Here is a 24,001-nt window from a genome sequence, read left to right on the forward strand (position 1 = left end):
CGGCCTCCCAAAGTGCTGGGATTACAGGCATGAGCCACCGCGCCCAGCCTGCTTGATTCTTATACCCTGTCATCCAGCACACTTCCTTCCCCAAACTGAATGCAAGCCCCCCATGGGCAGAGAATCTATGGTGCCCATTTTCAGTCACCCGTGCTGTGCCTAGCATAGCTTCCTGCACCCATCAGCGCTAAAATATCCCACGGATGCTGTCTTGATGGCAGAAGGCACTTTTCAATCACTGTGCAAATGGCGCCTTCTACCCCCATGATGGCATGTGCACGGCATGCTCGAGTGCCCGGGGACGCTCACCCTGTCCTCCTGGAGGTCCGGAGCCCTCGCCTGGTGTTCCCTGTGCTGTCCTTGCCTTGCCTCACTTGCTCTTTTCCTCCCACTCTCCGGGTCCAACCTTGGCTTTAGTGTCTCTGCTTTCTGCAGGCTCTCCTGGGGCGGGCCCCTTTCTGCAGACAACTTCAACTATGGCCTCTATGTGAGGACATCACTCTATCTTCAGCCTTTGCCTTTCTCCTGGATTCCAGGGCTGCATTCTTCTTTCCAGCCTGACAACTGCAGCCAGTGCCCATGGCCACCGCAGCGTCACCCTGTCTACAGCAAGCATCTCCTGTGAGAAGTCTCCACATGCAACTTCGCTTCTCTCTAGCACAGTGTCCCTCTCATTTCTCTGAGGACTTGTTAACAATCTGTGGTTATTTTGCCAATCCACCCACTACCCTGTCGTCTGCCTCCCTAGAACATCAGTGCTGAGTGCACTATATGGACCTCTGTCTTCAGGACCTGGCACTGTGCCTGGCACGCAGAGGCACTCGATCGGTATTTGCAGAATGCCTCAAGGGATGTTTAAAACTGAAGTCAATGTATCTCCCCCCAACTAAATGCAATTGTTCTTTTCCTGTTGCACTGTTACCATTCCTCTCACTCACTCCCATCCTTGAGATTTAAAATCTTAGCCACCTTTAGCTCCTTCTTCTCTATTTTGCCACTTCCAGTACCTCTGGCACCCAGGCTTTCCTTGCACCTCTTCTGCATCACTGCTGTGGCCCAAGCCCTCAGTTCCCGTGTCCTTGGAGGATGACAGCATCCTCCCGCTTCACAGACCAGCCCTCCCCTGCTCTGGGGTCCGTGCTCATTCCACCTAGGGCTTTTCTGTGACAGTCCCTTAGTCAGGACCCTCCATTACTTGCCAAATAAAAGCCAAACTCTCACCCTGACCTCCAATATCTGACCACTGTGTTTTGAGACAGGGTCTGGCTCTGTCACCTAGGCTGGAGTGCAGTGGCACGATCATGGCTCACTGCAGCCTCCCAAGCAGCCGGGACTACAGGTTCATGCCACGGCACGTAGCTAAATTGTGTTATGTTTTTTTTAGAGATGGATTTTTGCCATGTTGCCCGGGCTGGTCTCAAACTCCTGGGCTCAAGCAATCCACCCACTTTGGCCTCCCAAAGTGCTGAAATTACAGTCATGAGCCACTATGCCCAGCCCAGTATCTTTCAATATGATCCCAACCTCCTTTTCCAGGTTTATTTCCCATTTTTTTCCACCTATATCCTGCATTCAGGAAAAGTCAGATTAACCAGGAATCAGGCATAGGCTGAAGACTCCCCACTTCTGCACATTTAGAAAACTCCCTGAAGAGGAATTCATTGAATGCCTGGGTCCTGGGCACCCCATGTGGTGGGGGGTGGGGTGGGGAGGTTAGTTCAAAAGCCAGGTCAGAGGGGGCCTACTGGGCTCACTCAGTCTCTTACAAAAAGACCACCTTGATGGCTCCTGTGGGCACGGGTGGTAGCCAGGCCTCTTGCCCCTTCCTTGCCCTGGCTAGGGAGGAAGGATGGCGGAAAGGGCTGGACTGCTTTGCATAAAGGTGACAAGGGCTGCTCAGGGCAGCTGGGCAGGTGCAGAGGGAGAAGAACTCCATCCCCTCCCAGAGGAACCAGTGTTCTGCAAGAAACAATGACCAGGAAGCTTCGAGAACAGGCCTGTCCACGATGTGGCTTTAAAGTGGTTTCTTAACCAAGACATAACCCCTCCGCTGAACACCTGCAGTTATAGAACATCTTATTTGCTGTGGAACGTAGGAAATGGAGGCTGCAGGGCATTCGGAGTTTCACTGGAGCCAGGTGATTCTCAGAGCTACTGGGGAGACATGGGGTTTCCTGCTGGATGGGAACAGGAATTTAAGCAGCTTCTCCCCACCCCCAAATCCTAAAAAAAGAGTGTCCCCAGCAGGCTGAAGGGTCTGGAAGCTGATACCTGGGATACTGAAATAAGAATTAATACCTTCAGCTATACCAGAGGATATGGTCACTCTCTCAAGAGATATATTTTGAGTACTCACTACAGGCAAATAGGTACTAGACTCTGAACAGGGTGGCTAATGAACAAGGTCAAGGGGACACAGACACATATGCCAGTAACTGCCATGTAGTGTGACAAGACACTGACTTAGTTCCTGGGCACAGTGGAAGGAAAGTAGGAAAGGGTGTGAGTCCTCACTCTTGTGTGGAACGGAATGCTCTGGAGAGAAGGAGTCATCTGGGCTGAGTCCTGAGGAATCTCGGACACATTCTCAGGCCGGAGTGGGGGAAGGACAAGCCCTTCCTTCCTCCTGGAATGTCCTTCTCAGCATCCGGACCTACCGACACTGTACTGATCCCTCCAGTGCCAGCCGAATGCCACCTCCTCTCAGAGTACAACGATGCTAGCGGTCTGGTCTTCCCTTGAACCACAGCTGTTCTCATCTCAGGGACCAGCACAGTTCCCACATCCCTGATGCTCGGGTGCTCTGTACCTGCAGGGGCTTCTCGACGGTAAAGGAACTCGGTCTTGTTCATTAGCCACCCTGTTCAGAGCCCATACCTATTTGCCTATAGTGAGGACTCAAAATATATCTCTTGAGAGAGTGAGGACATCCTCGCCTAAAGCTCTTTCTCCTGATTAGATGGAATAGGCCTGGGGCTCTGTAATTTGGGCAATGGCTTATCATATCCTCTCTCCTCAGGATCTCCTCACTATTACTCTTCAGAAGTGACAATATAAACAGTGTGGTTGTTCTGTGTGGCAGATAGCAGTGGAAGTTACGCTGGATACATTTCATGTTTCCAATATATCTGGACATTTCAGGTTCTACCTTGGTCGGAAGGAAACCTTTCTCTCCAGCGTCATGCTTTCTGATGTAGCTGCCCACTTATTTGAAGCTGCCTATGATCTGTACTCAGTAACACAAGAGACTCTAAAGATTATTTTACATCACCACTAAGGGCAGCTCCATAAAGTATGGCTTAATTTCACAACTAGCCTCACAATGCTACTGTAATTTATGTGGGGAAAACTTAGAACAAGTATCAATAGCAAGGAATCATTTTGAACACGTAAAGAATATGCGATGAAGTCTTCCTCTGCACACAAAAAAGCATGGCTCTTGCCTCCTTCTTTGCAAAGAGAACTGTCAGATCCGTTAGTTTCATAATACTTTAATCATACATTGTCTAGCTAATTACCACTCCCAAATAATGAAACGTAACTTTCAACGATTTAGAATGCCACAGTTTTTTGTAAAATAGCTCCGTTTTACTGGTCTAAGTTTAAACTATTACGGCGATCACTGGCCTGCTGCCTCCCTGTTTGATTTCTCCACTAGCTGTCCCAGAGATCTTGCTGATAAAAGATCTAAAACATACAGTCTTCCGAGAGCTCTTATTTGACTTTTTTGCTCCACATTTCCAGATATAATGGTTCTCAAGGCAACACTATACAGAATCAGAGAGAGAACATGAGCTTACGTTTAAGGCAGTCATTCACATTTACACACATATAATTACAACTCTTATTTTTAAAAAGTGTAAATTTATGACACTGTCCTTCAAATATTATTCATACATCAGGTTTTGGGTTATGCTGCAAATCACTTGCCAGTAAGTCTAGGGTTCATGGGGCAGGAATGACACGTTAACCCTGTCTAGCCACTGGGGGTCCTGGTTTGGAATAATACTGTGATGTACTGTCAGGAAGTAAGCTTGGGTACTAGGAAGACATTAGCCGATTACTCTTTTGGGGTTTTATACAGTCTTGCTGTGATTCACCTCAACCCGTGTTTCAAGTGTATGTCATTAACTCTTCACAGACAGGAAAACTCAGTCTCAGAGGTCAATGACTTGCCTTTAGTTCAAATTGAGGTCAGAATATCTGATAATTTCCCAACTCTAAATTTAACTCATGATACTTATGCCATGAACATTAAAACTGACTGTACACTGTGCATCCAGCCTATTTCAGGACACATTTAATAATACACTTTAATTTTGCTCATAATACGCCATTAAAGCAAGAGTCCTAGAGGAATTGAAATCTGCTATCTTTGCACCTTGTAACATGAAGGCACGTTATCCAAGGCACAGATGCACTAGATCCAAATGCTCCTGCCCTAATTACTGCATCTTTATGTGCAGGCCAAAGGGCATCTTTTTCCCTTTGCTACATTCCAACTCATTCTCAAACACAAGGCCAATGACCCCAGGTTCTTTCCAAACTGTCTCTTCTTTAGTTTTAAAGAAAGTTTATTGCCTCCTTCTCCAATCAAGACATTTTTACTGCACTTCGAAGACACCCCTTAGATATCATGCTCCTGACAGCTCTGCAGGAAAACAGTTTTAGGTGACTTGTCACTTTATGAGGGTGGCCAGTGCCTGGCTTCACAGTTTTCTAAATCCCTCTGTCAAGAGAGGCCTTGAAAGAGCAGACTGGAACTTTCCAGCAGTCTCCTGGCCAGTGAATGTGCACCTTGCCTTCTGAAAGTAACTTCCGAAGTGATGATCTTGCCGTCTGACCTTGGGCAAGCAACGACTTCCACGGCCTCAGTTTCTTCAGCTGTAAAGTGGCAATGCTGGCCGTAATCATCTAGGTTCCCTCGGCCACGCAGCTCTGAGATGGCCTCCTTTTCCTTTCCTCATCTAGCTCGTGGGGACTGGTGCCAATACTATCAGCAACTGCATTTATCGTACCAAGAGTTTTAACTTTCAGGGCAGCCGTGAGCCCAGCAAAGACTGACAGGATCATCTCCTGCCCATGGCTCTGACAGCTCTCTTTTGATCCAACTCATGCCCAGGAAAAAAAAAACCAACCATTAATTATATGCTTATTTCTTCCTTTAAAGACATAAGAGACTCCTTAGGTTCTCAGCCCTCCTGGTGTGTCCCATCAGATGGCTTGGTACAGTGGCACCTTTTAAGAACGTGTGAAATATTCCAGTCCGTTCAGATTCAGGCAGAATCCAAATCACTCAAAGCCTTCTCCTACCAATTCTTCGTTCATTTTAATGGTCAAGCACAGAGGAAAAACCCTCTTAACCCTTACTGTCTACTGATTAAACACATTTATTTACTTATTTATTTTGATATAGGGTCTCGCTCTGTCACCCAGGCTGGAGTATAGTGGTGTGATCTCAGCTCACTGCAACCTCCGCCTCCCAGGTTCAAGTGATTCTCCCACCTCAGCCTCTCGAGTAGCTGGATTACAGGTGTGCATCACCATGCCTGGCTAATTTTTTTTTGTATTTTTAGTAGAGATGGGGGTTTCGCCATGTTGTCCAGGCTGATCTTGAACTCCTGACCTGAAGTGATCCACCTGCCTTGGCCTCCCAAACTGTTGGGATTAGAGCCGTGAACCACTGTGCCCAGCCAATTTTCTATTCTCATCCTCTGACTCTTAAGATTAAATGCTCTAAAGAATAAAACAGTCTTGTTAGATTGAAAAGCAAATGAGTAGATGAATGAAACAGAAAAGTACTCGGCAACCCTGCCATGTCCCCTGAGAAGGCAGGGCCAGCTCTACAGTGAAGATTGGTGAGTGGTTTTCCTGGGCCCTGCATGGGAGGAAAATTAGGCTTGTCCTGAGTGGGTGCACCTGCCCTGCTGAGCTGCTATCTGGATGACGATGGCCATGCTGGGCCGCAGCTCCACCAGGAGTGTGGCATTGTGCTTGGTTTGATGGAGCAGCCCACACCAGTGGCAGCATGCACCCCTTCTCACTGGGTCATCAGCTCACACCCATCATGCTGGTTTGGAAAATTCAATGACAAGTTCAAAGAGTCCGGCTGGTGTGAGGGAGCAGCCTGGCATGGCTCACTAAGGCCCAGCATGGTGTCTCACAGGAATAGTTCTGTGCACACTGTCCTGGGACTGGCATCTCAACCTTCCTGGCAAAGAACAGGGAAGGGAGGTAGATGTTCTCCTGGAGCCTCCTTCTCAGATGCTCTGTGCATCTTCACTTCCAGGGCTGGTGTCACCAGGGTCCTGGCCATCCCATGGGCACACCCTCCTTTAACTAGAAGAACAGTTGTTGGGGGCCGCACCCAGGGCGTGGGACATACTTGGCTCATCCTGTCCAGGTCTGAAGCTAGACTTTTGCCCTGGCCCTCATCTCTGTTCTGGGAGAAAACAGATTCAGATGTGAGCCTGTGGTTGGCATCACACAAATGTGACTGTTCAGTTTTTACCATCTTTGAGGTGATCTCCGTGCCAACCTCTCCATCCTTAGATAGACCCATGAGCCCTACCCCACAGAGTTGTAAGGAAGTAAATGAGATAATGTGTATGCAAAAGCCCTACACCTGGCACTCGATAAACAACAATATTCGCTTGTTCCTATTTAAAAGTATAGCTGCCCAAATGCCTTGTTTTTCAAGGGTGCTTTAGAGATAGAAACAATGAACTTCAACATCACACACTCAGTCGGGTGTCTCCTGCACTGGCACGTGCTGGGGAATGAAAGTTCCTTGTTTGATGTTTTCTCTGCTGGCAGCAGTGCAGAACTCAGAAACGTTAATCTGAGCTTTCTCTTGGTGGAACTGAGAGAGCTAAGATCAGAAATCTTCTAAGATTATCCTTAACAGGCCGGGTGTGGTGGCTCATGTCTGTAATCCCAGCACTTTGGGAGGCGAGGCGGGTGGATCATCTGAGGTCAAGAGTTCGAGACCAGCCTGGCCAACATGGTGAAACCCTGTCTCTACTAAAAATACAAAAATTAGCCTGCTGTGGTGGCAGGCACCTGTAATCCCAGCTACTTGGGAGGCTGAGGCAGGAGAATCTCTTGAACCCAGGAGGCAGAGGTTGCAGTGAGCTGAGATCGTGCCATTGCACTCCAGCCTGGGTGACAAGAGTGAAACTCCGCTAAAAAAAAAAATATATATATATTATATATATATATATATTATATATAATATATATATAATATATTATATATATTTATATATTATTTATATATAATATATTATATATATTATATATAATATATATTATTTATATAATATATTATATATATTTATATATAATATATATTATTTATATATAATATATTATATATATTATATATAATATATATTATTTATATATAATATATTATATATAATATATATAATATATATTATTTATATATAATATATATAATATATATTATTTATATATAATATATATAATATATATTATTTATATATAATATATTATATATATATATATATATATAGAGAGAGAGAGAGAGAGAGAGACAGACAGACAGACAGACAGACAGACAGACACCTTAATAAACTGGATTTCTTTCTGGCCAGCTCAGACACTGAGGTCTCCCTCCTGTCCGGACCTGCTGTTTGTCCTGCTTCTGCTTGTGGGATGTGTACAGGCTGCCACACTCATGTGTGCTTGCTGGCCTTCTTCCTGCCCTCCTGGGTCACGTGTGTCTGTGTATGTCCCTCTCGATCCCTCAGGCCTGCATTGTATTTTGGCCTTCCGGGCCACCTGCAGTCACCCAGGTCTCCGACCCACTAGACACCTGGCCCGCGTGGCTCCTGTTGTCTCCCACAGGTCCTACTGCTCGGCAGCCTTGAGGAGCACAGATGCATGCCTCCCTCCACAGACCCCCGTGGCACGTCCCCAAGGTGCCAGTGTCACTTCCCATCTACACTCTTATTTGTACAATTTGTCTTATTGTTTAAACTGGACTGTACACTGCCGTAGGAAAAAGATTAAATTATTTTTCCATGACCACATATACTTCACTTACAAGTACTTCACTTATAATAGGCCTTCAAATGCAAGTTGCAAAAGACACCAATAAATGCAAAGACAACTTGTGTTCACGGACTGGAAGACTTACTATTGTTAGGGTAAAGATCATTACACAAAGTGATCTACAGATTCAGTGCAATCCCTATCAAAATCCCAATGATGTTTTTGCAGAAATAGAAATCCATCTTGAAATTTACATGGAATCTCAAGGGACTCTGAATAGCCAGAAGAATTTTGAAAACAACAACAACAAACAATAGCAAAGTTGGAGAGCTCACATTTCCTGATTTGAAAACTACAAAGATACAGTAATCACAACAGTGTGGAACCAGCATAAAGACAGACGCGGATACGAAGGATGGAACAGAAAACCCAGATGTAAACCCTAATATACCCGGCCAATTGATTTTCAACAAGGGTACCAAGACCACACTACGGGGAAAGAACAGTCTCTTCAACGAATGGTACTGGAAAACTGGATATCCACATGCGAAAGAACACAGCTGGACCCTTACCTTACATCGTACATAAAAGTCACCTCAAATAGATTGAAGACCTATACATAAGACTTAAATCTATAAAACTCTGAGAAGAAAACAGGAGAACAGCTTCATGACATTGGGTTTGGCAATGATTTCTTAGATATGACACCAAAAGCATGGGCAACACGAGTAAAAGCAGACAAAGTGGACTCCTACAACTTAACAACAACAACAACAAAAGAAAGAACAAGCAAATAAGAGAGTGCCCAACATCGCTACTCATTAGGGAAATGCAAGTCAAAACCACCATGAGATACCATCTCATACCCATTAGGAGGTTTACTATCAAAAAACCCAGAAAATAATAAGTATTGGGGAAGAATATGTAGAAACTGGAATCCTTGTGCTCTGATGATTGGAATGTAAAACTCTGCAGTCGTAATGGAAAACGAGTATGGTAGTTCCTCAAAAAATTAAATATAGAATTACCATATGATCTGGCATTTCCACTTCTGGGCTAGTAACCAGAAGAACTGAAAGCTGAGTCTCAAATAGACACTTGTCCACTCATATTTACAGCAGCATTATTCAAAACAGCCAGAATGTGGAGGGAACCTAAGTGTCCGTTGACAGATTAATGAATCGACAGACTGTGGTAATATTTGCTATGGAATATTATTCCTCCTTAAGGAGGAAGACAATTTTGACACCTGCTACAACATGGATAAATCATGCATCGACTATGCTGTAAGTGAAATAAGCCCATTATGAAAAGACAAATACTCCATGGTTCCACTTACGTGAAGTTCCTAGAGTAGTCAAATTCATAAAGATGGAAAAAATGGTGGTTGCCAGAGCTTGGGGTGGAGAAAATGGGGTAGAGTTTTAGTTTTAGAGGAAAAAAGAGTCCTGGAGATGGGTGGTGGTGATGGCTGCACAACACTGTGAATGTACTTAATGCCACGGAACTGCACACTTGAAAATGGTTAAGATGTAAGTTTTATGTGTACTTTACCATTATTTAAAAAATATCCCACTGGGCCAGGCATGGTGGCACAAGCCTGTAATTCCAGCACTTTGGGAGCTCGAGGTGGGCGGATCATGAGGTCAAGAGATTGAGACTATCCTGGCCAACATGGTGAAACCCCATCTCTACTAAAAATACAAACATTAGCTGGGCGTGGTGGTGCGCACTTGTAGTACCAGCTACTCGGGAGACTGAGGCAGGAGAATCACTTGAACCCGGGAGGCAGAGGCTGCAGTGAGCCAAGATCACACCACTGCACTCCAGCCTGGTGACAGAGTGAGATACCGTCTCAAAAAAAAAAAAAAAAAAATTCCACTGATACTTAACTTGAAAAATAAAATAACTCACTATACTGAATCACTAACTCTCATTTTTCTTTTCAAAAAGGAGATTAAAAGTATATTTTCAAAAAAGACAAAAAGTGTCACACTAGAGCTACTTCCTTGGGGGTATCTGAGCCTTAATTGTTGTATCATTAGTGCCTAGCACAGTGCTGGTTACATCACGGGAACTGGGTAAACGAAATTTTAAAAATAATGTGCAGGGATGAATACGTGGGTTCTGATTATTCTTTTCTTAAATTTCTAAGGCTACTCACTAAGCTATTTCATATTGCACTGACATGTATATATTCTTTTTTCAATTGACACATTTTCCTATTTATGTAAAATATTTACATTAGTTTTTTTCCTTACGTTTGAAAGCCTTACACACACACACACACACATACACACACACACACACACACACATATTTTTTTTTTTTGAGACGGAGTCTCGCTCTGTTGCCCAGCTGGAGTGCAGTGGCTCTCTGCAGCCTCCGCCTCCCAGGTTCAAACAATTCTCCCGCCTCAGCCTCCTGAGTAGCTGGGATTACAGGCGCCAGCCACCACGCCTTGCTAATCTTTTGTACTTTCAGTAGAGACAGGGTTTCACCATGTTGGCCAGGTTGGTCTCAAACTTCTGATCTCAGGTGATCTGCCCACCTCAGCCTCCCAAAGTGCTGGGATTACAGGTGTGAGCCACCGCGCCTGGCTGTCTTTAACATATTTTTATACAAAACCGGAGACAAGAGCATGATGAGCCTGCGGATACATTCCCAGATTCAACAACTCATGATTTCTAATTTGGCCACAGTGTATATGTGTTAATGATAATGTCCTCAGAGTCAGAATCACATTGTGATGTCACGCACACCCCACAGCCAGGTCATACATGTGGAGGCTGAGGCACATAGAGGTGAGCAACTGGACCCAGGTCACACAGAGAGTGCGTGGTGGAGCTGATGCTGGAACCCAGAACACCTGTCTCCATGGCCCTGGCTCTAGGACATCTGCCAAATGTATTAGCCTGAATTTTATTTATACAAGTTGATCTTAACTAATAAGATTAATTTTCCAAAACTTAGCCCATTTTTCAGATAAGGTTAATGGAACTTTCTAAAACAGAAAATAAATGCCTTATGAGTCAGTGGTCTCCTGGCCCCGGTGTTTGAGCCTTTGAAATGTCACTACTGTCTCCAAGAGCTCCAAAAATGGTTTTTGCCCTCTTTCTTTTTCACGCTGTTCACCAGACAGATTTGCCATCACAAATTCAGGCTCAAAGGAGACAACATCTGTGAAGAGTTCCATAAATGGTGAATCAGTATACATGGTCATGTAGGATTGATATGATTGTTGGAAAACACAAAAAAACACAAATTCACATTTTCTGGGGCCGGGAGTGGTGGCTCATGCCTGTAATCCCAGCACTTTGGGAGGCTGAAGTGGGCAGATCACGAGGTCAGGAGTTCGAGACCAGCCTGACCAACATGGTGAAACCCCGTCTCTACTAAAAAAATACAAAAATTAGCTGGGTGTGGTGGTGTGTGCCTGTAATCCCAAGTGCTCAGGAGGCTGAGGCAGGAGAATCGCTTGAACCTGGGAGGTAAAGGTTGCAGTGAGCCGAGATCGCGCCACTGCACTCCAGCCTGGGCGACAGAGCGAGACTCTGTCTCAAAAAAAAAAAAAAATTACATCTTCTGGATCTGGGCTTGGCTCCTGGCTGTACACGGTGCCTCCTTCTACCGTATAACTGAGATACTACCTGTACAGGACTTTGTTGGAGAAGTGCTGAGTGTCCCTTCAAGCAGCCTCTTCCCCAGGAGGCAATCTTTACCTTCACTAGCCACAAGGAAAGACTGAAGTCTGGCGCCAAGAGCACCATGCTGGAGGTCTCAGTGGCGGGGGGCACATCTCACCCAAGGCCACTCTGCCCTGTCCACTTGCAGAGGGGCTCCTTGGTGTGGGGACAGCAAGAGGGTTTCTTTTGCCACAGGATGACCATTGGCTCCTTGGGAGCCTTGGTCCTCTTGACTGATTCATGGATGGCTGACCACGAATCCTCTTAAAGAGATCTTTGATGCCACTAGACTACTGACAAGCATGAAGTCCCTGACGATGTGTCATGGGCCTGCTGGAATCTCTGTTTCAAGGACATTCTTCCCCAGACAGAGTGGAGAGTGAGGACTGAAGGGAGAAAGAGACAGCGCAGGTGCAAGGTGGACAGCACCCATCGACCTCTGTGCTGGAAGCGGTGCTTATGCACTTAGGCAGGTGCTGAAATGAGAGAGGCTGTGCCTGAAGACAGCAGGTCAAGTCTCAGTATGACAGCAACATGGCAGATTATAAAAACCAGATGAGCCAGCAGATAGCCGCTGTATGGTAACTCGTGCCACAATAAAAATGTCAGTTTTCTGTATTATTTTACAGCATTGACTAGCCTAGGAATGCTTTCAAGCAGGACACTGATACCCTCCATTGTTAAAGACAGACATAGGCATTTATTAACTGGTGTTCACACGGCTCTTTCACTGGCTGAGTTTGTGAGGCGAGACCAGATTTCCTGTCCTAAGTATTCCTGTGGGAGCAGCAACCATGTGGGCGCCTCAAAACGTTTCCATCAGAAATGACAGTCGGGGGCAGGTGCCCCGCACTCACCAATTTCTATCCCACTTACTTTCTCTCTCCCTGGAGAGTTGGGCAAAATTCTCTGTCATTTCTTTTATTCTTTACTCCTAAAAGATCCTTGTAACAAAGAACTCAAGCAAAAAAAAAAAAAAAAGAAAAAGAAAATCCCATAATTAGACTAAGTGGCATCCCATCCCCCTCCCCTTTTTAAAGTGAAGTGAGCTCTGCGCATGGCAGCAAACTGGCTGCCTCTACAGGCCTGCCTTGCGTAGCGCCGGGGTCTGGAGTTTCTGGAGCATTCTCTTGGAACTGCTCAGAGGCAGGGAGTGCCGGGGGTGTGTGTTTGCAAATAGATACCTGAATGATTATCTAGAAAACGTGCCTCTGAATTCCAAGTGAAAAGACATAATTTTGAGGGTTATTTGCCTTCAATTTGGGTGGTCCATCGTGAGCTGCCTTTATACATGCCACTGTCCTTCCTACTGAAGGTGTCCACAGCATGATCTCTTCACCGGGATTGGGATGAAAACACCAGTCATCACCCAGCAGATGTTGCTTCTCTACTGAGGACCCTTCAACTTGTTCACTGTTTCAAAGCTGAAGCTGCAATTTGCGAAGTCGCATTTTCCCGAAGGCTTTCCCACCTGGGCCTTGCTGAGGAACATAAGAGTATCATCCCACCGACTGCTGGCATTCGGCCCTGCGCCCACACAGCCCAGCGCTCTGCCTACCTGTGTCCAGGTGAGAGTGCATCACAGGCATCCTCCTGGACAGGCAGAGGGAAGCTCTCCATCATTATGGAATGCTTCCTCTACTGTATGACACACTCAGTTGAATGAAAAGAAACATCAGTCTTTCTGAATGGGTAATGATATTGTTTTCTTAAAGAATACTTTCACAGAAAAATAAAAAAATACTTCTAGAGTAAGATTTAAAAAATCAACATATACATTTGGAATTATTTGTCTCAAATCACAGACTCTAGAATATTTAAGTTGCTTGAGACTATTTAGCTCGGCTTTCTGCTCACAGACAGGAACTGAGGCACACGCTTGGGAAGGCCAACATTCTGACTATTGTCACCTTGCCGGCATGGCACTGTTGCCCCAGCCAAGCTCGCAGTTACAAACATCCAGGGAGCAATGAGAGTTTGCTTAGAGAAAAGAGACGTCCTGGAATACCTGAACGGCTCTCACAAGGCTGTGAGGGGCTGGAACTACTTGGGGTAGATATATGTAGAAGTCACGTGAGGCAGGTTTGAGTTTAATAGGAAAAAAAACCCAAAACAACTTTCTGATGGCCTTCTGAGAGTGGAAAAGGCAGCCTTGTGGGCCAGTGGCAAACTCCTCATGAACCATGGGCCTCTGTGGGGCGTATGCAGTTCCTGCTATTCCTCATGAACCATGGGCCTCTGTGGGGTGTATGCAGTTCCTGCTCTGTGGAGGGAGGCTGGGCAGGGGACACTGGATGCTGTGGGCTCTTCGGTGGCAGGGCCTTTTTTTTTTTTTTAAACATCACTGTTGCATGTTTTACATATCATAAAATTCACTCGTTTCAACTGCACGATTCAGTGGCCTTTAGTAACTTTACCACATTGTGCAAGCTTCATGATACATCAGTGTCAGAACCTTTCATCCCAATGAGGTCCCATGGGGACAGAGTTTCAACTAAAGCAGGTCTCTTGGGACTATGGCTGTCTCGGGAGGGGCCTGTCTCACATGCATTCCATCCCAGTCCTCCCAGTTACAGCCTGGGTACCTTGCTTTGGGTGTGATAGGGTGTTGTACCAATAAGCAATATCCATACTGTCTACCCAGATAGGTTCAGGCAAGGAAGGGGCTGGGTGGACAGGAAAAGGTTGGCAGCTGGGTGATAGCACCCAGTGGACCAAGGGCAGATGCCACTGAGGGGGCAACAGGATAGGGTAGCTGCTTCTCTCACTGCCCCCCTGCCCCATACTCCCATATAGTGAATCTGTTTCGGGCAGAGGACACTTTTCACCCTGACCATGTATCATAATAAACTTCAATGGTTCTCTCAGCAACACTGAATTACTTGAGAAAGACTTTGTTATTCAGGAAACTGAGTAACTGAAGCTCAGAAACTTCTAGTAAAAAGATGATCATAATTGTTACATAATATCCATTAAAAAAAAAAGAAAGAGTAACAGCCATTTTAAACCCAATTAGTTTCCCTGACATGTTAATATATGTTAACCAGAAAAAGGAAGTCCTTTTTAAACCTGGGCTCCCTGTGGTGCACCCCAAAAGGAAGTCTCGGTGGCCTAGACTCCAACGTCCAGTGAGAGACACCCTGCATGCGTCACGTGGCTCCCCAGCCGCGGACCTGCTTGTGTTCTTACAGGAGGTGCCTAAGTGGCACCTTGAAGAAGATGATATGCTTGCTGTGTTATGTACACCCGCATCCTTCCTTGCTAAAGCATTCCTGGAAAGCCCCTGCTGACCATATCTGGGGGTAATCATCATGGGATGGGCCAGGCAAAGCCACCAAACCATGTGCCAATTACATTTCAAGCAAGGGGTCCTATTGGCACCAGCATCATTTTTTTAAGGCAAAGTCTAGGATTTCAGCTGTAGGAATTTAAAAACATCCAGAGTTAATTTTTCACACAAATCTTGAAGAGTGGGGGCTTTTAGTGTCTTTAGGTTGACAGCATCCAAAATCCAAAAGAAACAAAAACAACACAATGTGCCCAGAAAACTAAGAACGCCATTTTGGCTTTCTGAAACTTTGACAATACTGCAGACACGGGATGAGTTTCTGCGGAGAGGCCGGGGAGGAGAACGGATGTAGGGGGTCACATGTGGCTCATCCAGTAGGAGAAAATGAAAACATGTGTCAATGAGGAAAAGGCACAGGAATCACACCTCCGGTTCAAGTAGTCAGGCAGTGTGATGAAAGCTGCGAGACGCGGGGATGCAGATCAACTGAATAAGAGGCATATCTCAAACAAGATGTGGGAGTGGATTCTCTCTGTTCTGATTATTAGTATCTAGTATCTGAATTCAACCTACTGATTTAGTTTGTGAAGTACAGGCAATACGAGATGACAGGAGATGTTGGCGGCAAAGAATATTCTCATGCGGACCTGGAGTCTTTGAGAGCTGCCTAGAAGACAACCATGGTAGTAATTCCTTCTTTCCAGCATAGTTCCACAGGTTTGTAAATGAATCACAGCTGATCACAACAGATGGCCTCCATTTCCTCCCATCATGACCTTGAGATATGGCCCAAGCAGATCACAAGTCCCAGCAAGCAGTTTTCAATCCATATCTGAGCAGCGCCACATAAAAGATGTGGCTTGGGTGACTGGTACCTTGGCATCTAAGGATCAGAGTTCCCACGTGATTACAACGAACACCATTTGCAGCAAATACCATGGGGCAGTCCTCTCGGCTTCTGGAAAACTGCTACGGAGCGCTGTAACTGGCCTGAAGTCTGCGTACAGGCCTCACTGATACCTTTTTCAATTATCCATTTGGGTTAAATCCTCATGGGTCGTGCCATAGATCCCTGAGTGGATTGCACAGCAGGTGCTATTAGATCCTAGTTGTAATCAGTGAGTGATGGTCCAGGAACCTGGGAAGGTTCTAATAACACGCAAGGACTATCATCAGAATACCTCAACATTTAAGCAGCTTTGCATCTTCAAAGCTCACTACAAACATTAATTAATTAATATAGACGACACCCCTGTGATGTCGTTAAGTATGATTACCTCCATTTGACATATAAGGAAACAGGTTAAGCGGCTTGCTTGAGGCCACACAAGCCCGAGTGGGTCTGGGAATGTAGTTTGGAAGCACCTGATCCAGCACACACGGAGGCGTGCTAGTGGCAGGTCAAGAAGCTCACCCACTCCCCAGCCCTCGCCATCCCCAGCAAGTGGGACTGTGGCTGCAGGAGATCTGCTGACAGGCTGTCCGAGGACCCTGCCCGGATCTTCCTCAACCACGTTCCAACCCAAAAGAGTTAGTAAGAGTCTGACAGAGAGCGAGTGAGCAAGAGCAAGCTCTAGCAAATCCACTGCTGGGTCCAGCTGCAGTGATGGGGGGTGCAGCCCTTGCTTCAGCATTCCCTGCTGCTGAGGCGGACTAGGCAGTGGACAGTCGGATGTCATTGTTAAGGGGCGGGTGGGTGCCTGAGGGGGCAGAAAATGGAGGAAGCATGGAGGAGGCTATCATCTGAGGGTCATCAAAAACCCATGACAGACAGCTACACTGGGGAGATGGAGGAAGGACCTGAGAACTAGATGAAATCCTACAGCAGGAGCACCGGGAGTCACAAATGGCGACTCGCCTTGGCTCCGAAGCTGCTGGTGGAGAGAGAGGAACTGCGTGGCTGGAAGGCATTGTGCGGGACTGGGAAAGGAAGGAAGGGAGCCAGCACTTCTCGGTGCCTTCTGTGTTCCAGACCTTTACAGCATTCACTTATTTAATCCTCAGATCAGCTCCCCCAGGTGAACATTACTTCATCTTATTCTTATCTTAGCACTGGGAAACTGAGGTGGCAATGGTGAGTTTTCAGGCAGGATCAGAATCGAGTCCATGTGTGGATGATGACAGTGATCCCACACCACCACAGACAGGTAAGGACTCTGGACGTTGGAAACAGTGACATGGCAGGAGGGCCTCTGGGAAGAGCTGCAGAAGGTGCAGACTTGGGAACAGCTGGAGAAATGATAGCAGCACCGTGTGTGCTGGGGGCTCCACTTTGAATTCTGGAACCTGTGGCATGGGTGACCAGTACCTTGGAATCCAAGGATTAGAGTTCCCACACAAAGAAGTACAGTTGATCTGAGGACAGTCTCAGAGAGGTGGGGAGGGCCCAGAGGTGGGAGTGGGAGGTCCAGGCCTGTCTGTACCACTGGAACATCCAAGGAGAAGCAGGCAAGTGGACTCTGTATATGACATCAGCTGCTTTATGTTGATGTATATAAACTGTCCTGAGAGCCAAGGGAAATGCCTTAAATTCTCAACAAAGATGAGCTGAAAAAAATCATTCCAACATTTTCCCAATTATTTGACAGAAACACAAATTTAGGGCTTACTGCTGCATAACATTTTGTGTTCTCTCCTGCCAAGATGCTGAGGGCAGTCAGCTGGGAGGAATGCTACTTTGGGGATGAATTAAAGTTTGTTGAATAAAGAATGAGCACAGATTCAGAAGCAAAACTTCCATAGTGCATGAATCCTCCCAACGAGACTGTCAGAATAAGGATATAGGTTTGCATTTATTTATTTTACTAAAAGCTTCCTACTTCCCTCCTTTCTGGATATCGTAAGGGGTTTGACCTTTCTGTTTCAAATATGACATTTCTTTCTCTGATTTCCTTTAGCCAGATGTCAAACCTAAAATAGAATTTCTTAGAACTTACTGCTCAAATATGATACTTAGGAGCAGACTGTAGCTTTTCATAGTGTCTTATGGCTTTTCTAGAACATGCACTGATAAGGAAAGGGAGAGAAATTCAACTTGGGGTGTCTCTGCACCCTTCGTTAGGGATGCTGGGAAGTGATGGCAACGCACAGAAGCACCGTGCAGGTCGTTGGCTCAGAAAAGGCAGCCACTGTTTTCATTTAGGAGCCCAGCTCAGTCTGAACTGTGGGACCTCCTTCACCAAAGCACCCCCATATTGCTTCTTGTTCTCACCTACTTAACTGAAACGTCCCAAAGTTCCCTAGAAGAGATTTTAGCTATCATCTCTCCTAGAAGAGCAGGAAACCAAGCTCCCTTTTCCTTGCTTTTATCCTTGCCCCTGCGGAATTTTTCCAAAGGTACCAGTGATGTTTTTGTGAATGCAAGTACACGGCGGCCCTCCTCCTCACAGCCTGGAACCCCAAACCCTACCACTGGCCTGCACCGCCTTATGTGACTGCTTGTGGCTACTGCCCTCACCATTTCTCTGTGCCAGGAATACTGGCCCCACTGCTGTTCCTTCAACTGGCAAAGCATACACCTGCCACAGGGCCTTTGCACAGGAGTCCCCCGGTGACTGGTGAAGATCCGTGTGCCCTGCTCCCTCATTTCCTTCATGGCTCTGCTGAAATGTCTCATCAGAGAGGCCTTCCTTGATCACCTTTACCCTGCTTTATTTTTCTTCATGGCACAGATCTCCTCCTGACATGTTATTAACATGTTTGTGGTCTGTGCCCTCCTGTATGAATGGGAGCATGTAATTTATTTGTTGTAATTTGTTGGAATAAGTCACCTACTGGCTTAGCACCCTCAGGACCCAGAGCAGTGCCTGGCACACGGTAGGCACCCAGTAAGAATTTGTTGGATAAGTGCTTACATTTATTTCAACAAATAAATCACATGCATGCCCCGTTATAGTTCTTTACAATAATTAGGCTAAAAGTTGCTTATAAAAAGAAAAAGAAGTAACCTAGTCAAATTTTACTTTGGTGTTTCTTAAATGTTACCCATTCTTACTGCAAAAATCAACTCTTGGAATCTTTATCATTTCTCTGTAAGGCCGAGAATCTGCCCTTTGCTACTTGAATCTTGTGTCAGCCTTCAGTCAAAACTAATGAAAGTCTGGGCCAATGAGCTGGCCCCAGATTTCTGGATCATCCAAGCATCTCCTTCACTCTCTGGACCCTCTCACCTGCCCACCCCCTGGAACCACACTGTCCTCTGTCACCAACAGTGAGGTGGGGGAGTGTTCTTACAACTTCATCGTTCACTCACATGGGAGACCGTGAGTATTCTCTTCAGAGGAGAGGAATTGTTTCTCCTTAGAGAGGCGTGAGATGAATGAGTGTCCTGTTCTCCCTAGAGTCCCCGATTCATGGTGTCTGGCCACTCCTACAGGCACAGCACGGACAATCACATAACGAAGCTGAAAGCAATGTGCTTTTGAGTATAAGCCATACTGGTTAGAGGTGATTTACTGTGTCACTCTGTCACATTGACATGTTTGAGACTCATGTAAACTATTCCCTGATCAGCCACAGTTCTGGCCTAACAGGGGGCAATGCTAATGTTTAATAATGTAAGCATAATATTTAATTTGGAAAGTACTAGTGATTATATAGTAGTAAAGAGGCTTCACATGTGGGTAGAGATTTTTTAAAAATCTCATTGATACCAAGGTATAGTGCAGTAGAAACATTTTGAAACTAAAGTTAGAAGCGTCCTAACTGTAGAATGAACATATTCACGTCACTATTGTTCACCAGGATCGCTCTCACACACCACACGTGCTATGTGAATACAGATAGACTTCTGCATACTCAGCTGGCTTTGCACATCTCTACCACAGAGTACGTGTATCTCTTGGACAGAGTATGACTGGTGGAAGTGGCAGTTGGCAGTTTATCTTTGATCACTATATTCAGAGGTGGCTTATACTTTTTAATTTTTTTTATTATTATACTTTAAGTTCTAGGGTACATGTGCACAATGTGCAGGTTAGTTACATATGTATACATGTGCCATGTTGGTGTGCTGCACCCATTAACTCGTCATTTAACATTAGGTATATCTCCTAATGCTATCTCTCCCCCCTCCTGGCTTATACTTTTAAGGGCACAAAATATATAACCATGATTGCTTGAAAGGGATTTGTTTCAATTCCTTGTTTGAAGGAGGTAATGGGCCAGCCTAAGAATCAAAAGTGACAATGAAATATAAAATGTATAACCATGATTGCTTTAAAGAGATTTGTTTCAGTTCCTTGTTTGAGGGAGGTAATGGGCCAGCCTAAGAATCGAAAGTGACAATGAAATATGAATGTAAAAGAGGAAGGGAGACAGACCTCTGGCTTGTTAGTACAACAGAATACTTACTTGGGGTTCACTTTATACATTACTTTCCCCCATTTTCCTACCCATTTGGGTAGGAATGAGATCTGCCAGGAAGGTGCACGGGGCAGAAGGCTTTGCTGTTGTTTTCCATGTCTTGGTTTCCTTCCTTTACCAGGACCAGAGCAGGAGGCCTCCTTTCTGCTCTCTGGGGGCCACATACTCCTGCCTCGATGGGCCACAACTGGATGAAGGAGGATACACGTGTGCCTTGCTACACATAATAGCTAAACAGCCCTAGAAAAACAGGGTCTGTGTACATATCATCATGTCTTCAGGCTACAAGGAAGCCCGCTGTGTGAAAAAGCTCTCCTGAGCTCAAATAAGAACTACTTTCTAAATATCACCTTAATATATCTGGTAGGTTTGGATTTGGTATGTCAAGTTGAGTCCTATAATACATAGACTATTTCCTTCTGGAGACCGTATTTTTAATTTCAGCGACTTGGAGGAGTTAAACTCGACCTCTGGGCACACTGACAGCCAAGTGGGTCATCAGCAGAGGAGTGACAACGACACTTCCATTCATGTAGGGCTTCCGGTCTACAGGAGGGCTTTCATATAAGTGGGCTGAGTGTATGGGAAGTGAACTGATTAGGCATTTGCCCCTTGTTATGGATGAAGCAGCAAAGGCCGTGAGAGTCCCTGAGGGTCAAGTCGCTCTGAGATCCTAGAGACGGGAGTCCTGCTCTGCCCAGCATCCTCTCCCCTGCACCACAGTACCTGCATCCCCTCCTTTTCTGTGCCGTCTTTATTTTACAGTGTGGATCTGGTGGGCTAGGGTTCCTCTCCTGTTGGTCCTGATGATGCACCAAGACCAAGAATATTTCTTATTTATGGAGGAAATATGGTTAAGTGCTAAGTGTACAGCCCTGACCCTTCCTCTACCCTCTCAGCCTAGTTACACCAGGGAGGTAAATCCCTACCTGTTTGTCTACCTACTTGTTTATATTAAAAGTTCTTGCAAATTTAAAAGGTTATACACTCAATGATCCAAAGGTGAAGTTGAGAAGACTATAAAAGACCTTAGGCAATATGAAATTATACAGTCAGCTTTTCACGTGACGGTGGTGTGATCACTAATGGAATCACCGAGTTTCCACAGAATGAAAAGGACCCTTGGGATCCGGAGCTACAGTTTAAGCTGGTCCCTCTCTGGAGGTGTTGCGTAGTAGGCTTCTCCTGTAACGTCTACGGCTGACTTATGACATTTACATTTTTGGTCCTCAAGGTCACAGTGTCCTTCTAAGCGGAACGATAGTGGAGACTGGGAACTAACTTCTTCATCTCCTCTCTTTGACAGCCTGAACTCAGCTTGGCACTGGCTTTCTATCCACCTTCTGCCCAGCAGTGAATGGAGTCAACTCTCCCATTAATGGAGCACCCTCTGGGGGAAGGGCACTGTGTTTTCTGCTGAGCGCTAGGACCTTCACAGTCTCCACAGAGCAACAAACCAGAACTCAGCGAGAAGAGCAATGCCAAAGAGGAGGCCTAGCGTGCAGACACACATGAGCCTAGAGCAGCTGTGCCCACCCCATGCCTCTACCATTGACTCAATGAGGACAGCTGTCTTTGAGAGTGGTGACGGTAGGGTTCTATAGAAGAAGCAGGTCTGTTAAGCAATCTGCGAGATGGCCGGCCTCAGACCAATCAAAGTCTACCATTTTGTCTTATCTATCTAGAACCATAACTCAAAAATGAAATTGCCCCAGCTTTTCTCCTCCCACCATTAAATTCCATTCAATCATAGCAGGCAAAATGCAGTCACGCTCAAGCAGCCAGATGTTATCATTACAGACTGCTCTTTATAAACCCATGCTGAAACCTGAGTGGTTGATGAGACCAGCTAAGCAGTTGTACCTTTGACCCAATTGCATTAAACTTGCCCTATCAATTTAAGCTCAGTATAAACACCATTTCCCAGAGCCCCTCGTGAAGTCAGCAGTGAGAAGAAGCTGACTAAGCCTAAACATTTTTTAACAGCAATCTTGTCTTACAACACCAAGGGGATTTGCTGGGTATCTGGGGCTTTATAAAACCATATGAACATGCTGAAAGAATTAAAATCCTTTAAAAATGAAAAATTGATGGTGACAGTCCTGTCTGAAGACTAACTGGTCTAATGGCAACATGGAATGGGCACTTTTGTATTTTTTTTTCTTTTTTTTTTGGTCTGAGACACTTTTGTATTGTTTTGTAAGTAATATATTTGTATTATTTTTCTTCTTCTCAAATGTTTGCCTTAAGGTGGCCATTCCAATTTTTTTTAAATGAAAAAAAATGTGCCCCACTTATCAGTAAATTGGACATTTTAAGAGGAATTGAACATATTTACTGTCCTGGTTAAGTTTCTTTCTAATGAAGACTGGGACCCTCTCCGTATTCAAACATTTCAGATAATAAGATCACAGTTATCTCCACATCACATGCGGCTGACATCCCGGGAGTCTGGCCTATGCACAAGTCCCAGGGTGAATGAAGGGAGTGATCGTACCTGGCTATTGATTTGCTAATATTTCAATAAAACTTAGATGTTCTATAAAAATGTAAGCATATATTTGTCTTTGTAAATAAATATACCTCAGTGTAAAGGTATTTCAAAAGAGAAGGCTGATCTTAGAGGTGTTTACTTTTTTCTTTTTTTGCTTTGTATAAAAAGTTTATTCAGTTACTTTGTGGCTGAGTTTCCAAATAAGTAGGATACTGTTACTTTCTGTTAAAATGCTAAAATAGGATACTGGAGAACAAATAAATGTTGAAGATTTATAAACTCTTTTAGAAATGACTTCGTAATATATCTTAATAAGATAAAAAGGCCTTTGAATTATAAACTGTAGATTATAAAAATTAGGTAGAAAATGTAATATTTTAAGACACACTGGGGGCCAGGCGCAATGGCTCATGCCTGTAATCCCAGCACTTCAGGAGACCAAGGCAGGCGGATCACCTGAGGTCAGAAGTTTGAGACCAGCTTGGCCAACATGGTGAAACCCCATTTCTACTAAAAATACAAAAATTAGCTGGGTGTGGTGGTGCACGCCTGTAATCCCAGCTACTTGGGAGGCTGAGGCAGAACTGCTTGACCCTGGGAGTCGGAGTTTGCAGTAAGCTGAGACCGCACTACTGCACTCCAGACTGGGCAACAGAGTAAGACTCTGTCTAAACAAACAAACAAACAAACAAAAAAAACCACTGGGAATAAAAAGGAGCCAAAACATTAAAACAGAACACTCTCCATTAAGGGGAAGAAAACAATGCTACGAATTTAGAAATAAACTTTCTTGAAATATGTGTAAAGATGTATAACTAGACAAAGCAACACATCAGGTAATTCTGGCCAAATCAGAGAAGTACCAAGGTATCAGCTCAGGAGAACAGAGCCAGTGAGTTGCCAAAGAGACTTTTACACTGAACTTGACACACCCTGGAATTAGTGAAGACTCACAGACCTGAATGGAATATATTTCTAACATATGTCAGTACTGTTTTCACTAGTGAAGAACTCTCTGCAACATTAAAATCTAATACCAAGGTCTAAGGAAACTTTGTCAAATGTCTTGCTGCCCTGATTAAAAGAATTATTATAATTTTTCTCTGGAAGGAAGAGACAGAAGACATTGATTTCACACAATAATGGAAAA

At 45.0% G+C, this 24,001-nt stretch overlaps 1 protein-coding gene and 1 long non-coding RNA gene across 5 annotated transcripts in view, besides 2 other annotated features; one reads left to right on the plus strand and one right to left on the minus strand.

Annotated features, from left to right (window-relative positions):
* GMDS (GDP-mannose 4,6-dehydratase) overlaps positions 1 to 24,001 on the minus strand; it is a 621,800-nt gene that overhangs the window by 21,379 nt on the left and 576,420 nt on the right. The window lies entirely within an intron of this gene.
* LOC107986514 (uncharacterized) lies at positions 11,689 to 23,138 on the plus strand. Its single transcript, XR_001743788.2, has 2 exons — positions 11,689 to 20,720; positions 21,664 to 23,138. It is a non-coding gene; the product is annotated as an uncharacterized LOC107986514 (long non-coding RNA).
* Positions 20,157 to 20,386: an enhancer, noted in NCBI's record as "active region_23866". NCBI's record gives its function as "activates an Ori minimal core promoter by ATAC-STARR-seq in GM12878 lymphoblastoid cells {active_cell/tissue: GM12878}" and the evidence as "EXISTENCE:reporter gene assay evidence [ECO:0000049][PMID:35858748]".
* Positions 20,397 to 20,566: an enhancer, noted in NCBI's record as "active region_23867". NCBI's record gives its function as "activates an Ori minimal core promoter by ATAC-STARR-seq in GM12878 lymphoblastoid cells {active_cell/tissue: GM12878}" and the evidence as "EXISTENCE:reporter gene assay evidence [ECO:0000049][PMID:35858748]".

The sequence above is a fragment of the Homo sapiens genome, chromosome 6, assembly GCF_000001405.40.
Source record: "Homo sapiens chromosome 6, GRCh38.p14 Primary Assembly".
In the NCBI taxonomy this organism is placed as follows: domain Eukaryota; kingdom Metazoa; phylum Chordata; class Mammalia; order Primates; family Hominidae; genus Homo; species Homo sapiens.